Source organism: Homo sapiens, chromosome 4 (assembly GCF_000001405.40).
Source record: "Homo sapiens chromosome 4, GRCh38.p14 Primary Assembly".
Classification (NCBI taxonomy): Eukaryota; Metazoa; Chordata; class Mammalia; order Primates; family Hominidae; genus Homo; species Homo sapiens.
The window spans coordinates 4,994,700-5,000,935 of record NC_000004.12 but is presented as its reverse complement, the minus strand read 5'-3'; the positions used below and the strand labels follow the sequence as shown (position 1 = coordinate 5,000,935).

General features: G+C 43.3%; 1 annotated feature.

The window, feature by feature from the left end:
• Positions 5,457-5,606: an enhancer, noted in NCBI's record as "active region_21235". NCBI's record gives its function as "activates an Ori minimal core promoter by ATAC-STARR-seq in GM12878 lymphoblastoid cells {active_cell/tissue: GM12878}" and the evidence as "EXISTENCE:reporter gene assay evidence [ECO:0000049][PMID:35858748]".

Genomic DNA, 6,236 nt, shown 5'->3' with positions numbered 1-6,236 from the left:
ATCCAGGAGAACACCCCCAACCTAGCAAAGCAGGCCAACATTCAAATTCAGGAAATACAGAGAACACTACTAACATAATCCATGAGAGGATCAACCCCAAGACACATACTCATCAGATTCTCCAAGGTTGAAATGAAGGCAAAAATGTTAAGGGCAGCCAGAGAGAAAGGTCAGGTCACCTACAAAGGGAAGCTCATCAGACTAACAGTGGATCTCTATGAAGAAACCCTACAAGCCAGAAGAGAATGGGGGCCAATATTCAACATTCTTAAAGAGTTTTCAACCCAGAATTTCCTATCCAGCCAAACTAAGCTTCATAAGCAAAGGAAAAATAAAATCCTTTACAGACAAGCAAATGCTGATGCATTTTGTCACCACCAGCCCTGCCTTGCAAGAGATCCTGAAGGAAGTACTAAATGTGGAAAGGAAAGACCAGTACCAGCCACTGCAAAAACACATCAAAATATAAAGACCAACGACACTGTGAAGAAACTGCATCAACTAATGTGCAAAATAACCAGCTAGCATCATGATGACAGGATCAAATTCACACGTAACAATATTAACCTTAAATGTCAATGGGATAAATGCCCCAATTACAAGGCACAGACTGGCAAATTGAATAAAGAGTCAAGACTCATGGGTGTGCTGTATTCGGGAGACCTATCACACACGCAAAGACACACATAGGCTCAAAATAAAGGAATGGGGGAATATTTACCAAGCAAATGGGAAGCAAAAAGAGCAGGAGTTGCAATCCTAGTCTCTGATAAAAGAGGCTTTAAACCAACAAAGATCGAAAATGACAAAGAAGGGCATTACATAATGGTAAAGGGATCAATGCAACAAGAGAACAGCTAACTATCCTAAATATACATGCACCAAATACAGGAGCACATAGATTCATAAAACAAGTTCTTTGAAACCTACAAAGAGACTTAGGCTCTTACACAATAATAGTGGGAGACTTTAACACCCACTGTCAACATTAGACACATCAATGAGACAAAAAATTAACAAGGATATTCAGGACTCGAACTCAGCTCTGGATCAAGTGGACCTAATAGACATCTCCAGAATTTTGCACCCTAAATCAACAGCATATACATTCTCAGCACCATGTAGTACTTATTCTAAATTGACCACATACTTGGAAGTAACACTCCTCAACAAATGCAAAAGAATGAAAATCATAACAAACAGTTTCTCAGATCACAGTGCAATCACATTAGAACTCAGGATTAAGAAACTCACTCAAAACTGCACAACTACATGGAAATTGAACAACCTGCTCCTGAATTACACTTGGGTAAGTAATGGAATTAAGGCAGAAATGAATAAGTTCTTTGAAACCAATGAGAACAAAGAGACAATGTACCAGAATCTCTGGGACACAGCTAACACAGTGTTAAGAGGGAAATTTATAGAATTAATGCCCATGTCAGAAAACTGGAAAGATCTGAAATCGACACCCTAACATCACAATTAAAATAACTAGAGAAGCAAGAGCAAACAAATTCAAAAGCTAGCAGAAGACAAGAAATAACTAAGATCAGAGCAGAACTGGAGGAGATAGAGACACAAAAAACCCTTCAAAAAATCAATGAATCCAGGAACTGTTCTTTTTTAATTAACAAAATAGACTGGTAGCTAGACTAATAAAGAAATAGAGAGAGAAGAATGATATAGACACAATAAAAATGATAAAGGGGATATCACCACTGATCCCACAGAAATACAAACTACCACCAGAGAATTCTATAAACACCTCTATGCAGATAAACTAGAAAATATAGAAGAAATGGATAAATTTCTGGATACATACACCCTCCCAAGACTAAACCAGGAGAAGTTGAATCCATGAATAGACCAATAACAAGTTCTGAAACTGAGGTAGTAATTAATAGCCTACCAACACAAAAAAGCCCAGAACCAGACGGATTCACAGCCAAATTCTACCAGAGGTACAAAGAGGAGCTGGTACCATTCCTTCTGAAACTATTCCAAACAATTGAAAAAGAGGGACTCCTCCCTAACTCATTTTATGAGGCCAGCATCATCCTGATACCAAAACTGGGGAGAGACACAACAAAAAAAGAAAACTTCAGGCCAATATCCCCGATGAAAATTGATGCAAAAATCCTCAATAAAATACTGGCAAACCAAATCCAGCAGTACATCAAAAAGCTTATCCACTACAATCAAGTTGGCTTCATCCCTGGGATGCAAGGCTGGTTCAACATATGCAAATCAATAAATGTAATCCATCAGATAAACAGAACCAATGACAAAAACCACATGATTATCTCAGCAGATGCAGAAAAGGCCTTCGATAAAATTCAACATTCCTTCATTTTAAAAACTCTCAATATACTAGGCATTGATGGAGCATATCTCAAAATAATAAGAGCTATTTATGACAAACCCATAGCCAATATCATACTGAATAGGCCAAAGCTGGAAGCATTCCCTTTGAAAACTGGCGTAAGGATGCCTTCTCTCGCCACTCCTATTCAACATAGTATTGGAAGTTCTGGCCAGGGCAATCAGGCAAGAGAAAGAAATAAAGGGTATTCAAATAGGAAGAGGGGAAGTCAAATCGTTTCTGTTTGCAGATGGCATGATTCTGTATTTAGAAAACCCCATTGTCTCTGCCCCAAAACGGCTTAAGCTGATAAGCAACTTCGGCAAAGTCTCAGGATACAAAATCAATGTGCAAAAATCACAAGCATTCCTATATACCAATAATAGACAAACAGAGAGCCAAATCATGAGTGAACTCCCATTCACAATTGCTACAAAGAGAATAAAATATCTAGGAATACAACTTACAAGGAATGTGAAGGACCTCTTCAAGGAAAACTACAAACCACTGCTCAAGGAAATGAGAGGACACAAACAAATGGAAAAAAAATTCCATGCTTGTGGATAGGAAGAATCAATATCATGAAAATGGCCATACTGCCCAAAGTAACTTATAGATTCAATGCTATTCCCATCAAGCTATCGACTTTCTTCACAGAATTAGAAAAACCTACTTTAAATTTCATATGGAACCCAAAAAGAGCCCATATAGCCAAGACAATCCTAAGCAAAAAGAACAAAGCTGGAGGCATCACACTACCTGACTTCAAACTATACTACAAGGCTACAGTAACCAAAGTAGCATGGTATTGGTACCAAAACAGTCATATAGACAAATGAAACAGAATAGATACCTCAGAAATAACACCTCACACCTACAAGCATCTGATCTTCAACAAACCTGACTAAAACAAGCAATGGGGAAAGGAGTCCCTATTTAATAAATGGTGCTGGGAAAACTGGCTAGCCATATGCAGAAAACTGAAACTGGACACCTTCCTTACACCCTATACAAAAATTAACTTGAGATGGGTTAAGGACTTAAATGTAAAACTAAAAATCATAAAAGCCTTGAAGAAAACCTAGGCAATACCATTCAGGACATAGACATCGGCAAAGACTTCATGACTAAAACACCAAAAGCAATTGCAACAAAAGCCAAAATTGACAAATGGGATCTAATTAAACTAAAGAGCTTCTGGACAGCAACAGAAACTAGCATCATAGTGAAGAGGCAACCTGCAGAATGGGAGAAAAAGTTTGCAATCTACCCATCTGACAAAGGTCTAATATCCAGAGTCTACAAGGAACTTAAACAAATTCACAAGAAAAAAAAAATTCAAAATGTGGGCAAAGGATATGAGCAGGCACTTCTCAAAAGAAGACATTTATGTGACCAAGAAAAATGTGAAGAAAAGCTCATCATCACTGAGAAATGCAAATCAAAACCACAATGAGATACCATCTCAAGCCAGTCAGAATGGCGATTATTAAAAAGTCAGGAAACAATAAATGCTGTTGAGGCTGTGGAGAAATAGGAACACTTTTACACTGCTTGTGGGAGTGTAAACTAGTTCAACCATTGTGGAAGACAGTGTGGTGGTTCCTCAAGGATCTAGAACCAGAAATACCATTTGGCCCGGCAATCCCATTACTTGATATATACCCAAAGGATTATAAATCATTCTACTATAAAGACACATGCACACGTATGTTTATTGCAGTACTATTTTCAATAGCGAAGACTTGGAACCAACCCAAATGCCCATCAATAATAGACTGGATAAAGAAAATGTGGCACATATACACCATGAAATACTAGGCAGACATAAAAAAGAATGAGATCATGTCCTTTGCAGGGACATGGATGAAGCTGGAAGCCATCATCCTCAGCAAACTAACACTGGAACAGAAAACCGAACACCACATGTTCTCACTCATAAGTGGGAGTTGAACAATGAGAACACATGGACACAGGGAGGGGAACATCACACACCGGGGCCTGGGGCCTGTCAGTGGGTGGAGAGCAAGGGGAGGGAGAGCATTAGGACAAAACTGGGTTTAAATTGAACCAGAAGTCTGGGTTTAAATCCTGACGCTGACTCCTCGAAGCATCTCTTGGCTTCAGTTTCCACATCTGTAAAATGGGGTTCATAATAATACCTACTGAATAGAGTTGCGTGAAGAGCCATGTAAGTTATTTCGTGGAGAACATTTGGAGAAGAGGCTGGCACACACCAATGGTTCACCACCGATGGTAGCAACTGTCCTCAGGAGGGTGCCCCCGGGAAGCAGGGAGGCAAGGCTGGCGGCAGACAGATTGAGCCTGAGCAGGGCCTGGACAGGCATTGCCTCTCAGGAAAAGGGTCAGGGAAAATGTGGTATAGCTCAGGGGAAGAGTGAAAGCTTGGCCTGGATACATCGAGCATGAGCATCGACAGCAAAAGCCAGAGGCCCCGAAGCCAGCCAGGCTGTGGAGGGGGAGCCTTGCCAAACGTGATTAATTATAAACAGATTTACGCTTGCAAATGAGGTTCTCTGCTAGCAACTATTTAGGCGGGGATTTTTTACACAAAGCATCAGTGTGACCTCTCTATGTGCATTTCTAAAGTGATTAACGATTCTCCAAGGTCAAGTTGCAGTGGTATGTAGATTCTTAAAAATCGATCTATGCTCGTTAATGCCACCAATAACTGAAGCTGAGAAACTTAACATTGTTTGCCTTTCACAATTATTGCCCTCCAGTCTGGGCATAAAACGTAGGCCAGGACCTGCCAGCAGGCTGCTTCAGCCAGGTTCCTCTCCGACTGTTCGGGGCCCCTGCACCCACCTCTCCTCCACCCAGAGGGACGTTCTCAGGACACTGATCTAACCTGGTGCACCCAGCACACCCAACCCCACAGCCTTCCAGGGTCAGCTGTGCTGACGGAAGTCCCTGGGGTCACAGGAAAGGTCGCCTGGGAGAAGGGCTGGTGTGGGTCTAGCAGCGAGTCCCCGGGGTAACCTAGGCAAACCCCTTCCTCCTTCTCTGCCTGCTTTCCCAGGTGTAAGTAGGGGACCCAGGAGGGGATCATGCTGTGGTTCTCCACGGCCCTGTCCAGCCTCCCTCCTGGGTCCTTTCCCCTGGCTTGGGCAAGGGGTTGGGGTTGGTGGTGCTCACCGATCGTGTTCCTGTCCCTTAAGTTGCAAGGCCCTCAGTGGTGACCTGGGACCAGACGAGGCTGACTGCGGACGTTGTCCCAAACTTCATGCAGAGGGAAAAGCACCGCTGCCCTCTAGCGGCCTTTGGCCAGAATGACCTTGGGCCGAGGTCCTAAAGGGCTGCCTGTGGGGCTCAGTGAAATCCACATTTAACAGCGCTGAGTTCCCACTGCGTGTCAGGACCCAGTGTGCCCAGTGAGGGGCACATGCCTGCCCATGGGAGACTCACTCCTGGAGAGGGATAGGTGCATGGGTTGGGTGGGCGCCACACATAGCGCCTTTTAGCAAAGTGACCTTAACCTTTCTGCATCCCTACTTCATTCATCGTTATAACTGGGCTAAAAATAAAATGACTTCCTTGCAGCAGCTGAGCACCATGACTATGTCCCAGATCCAGCGCCTGCTCGCTGTTCCCACTGCCCCCAGCCTGGACCAAGCCTCCAGCCTCTCTCCCTGTTCTCCCGGCTCCCGCCTTGCGCTGCACCTTTCCTTCTGCACAGGGCAGCCAGGGGACGCACGGAATCCCGCTGCAATCCGACCACGCCATCCTCTGTCCACCACCCTCCAGTGCTTTCCAGCCCACCTGGAGGAAAAGCTGAGTCCCAGCTATGGCCTCTGGGATCCTACAGGATTTTGGGCTGTCACCTCTCAGGTCTCAGGACCTACCTCTC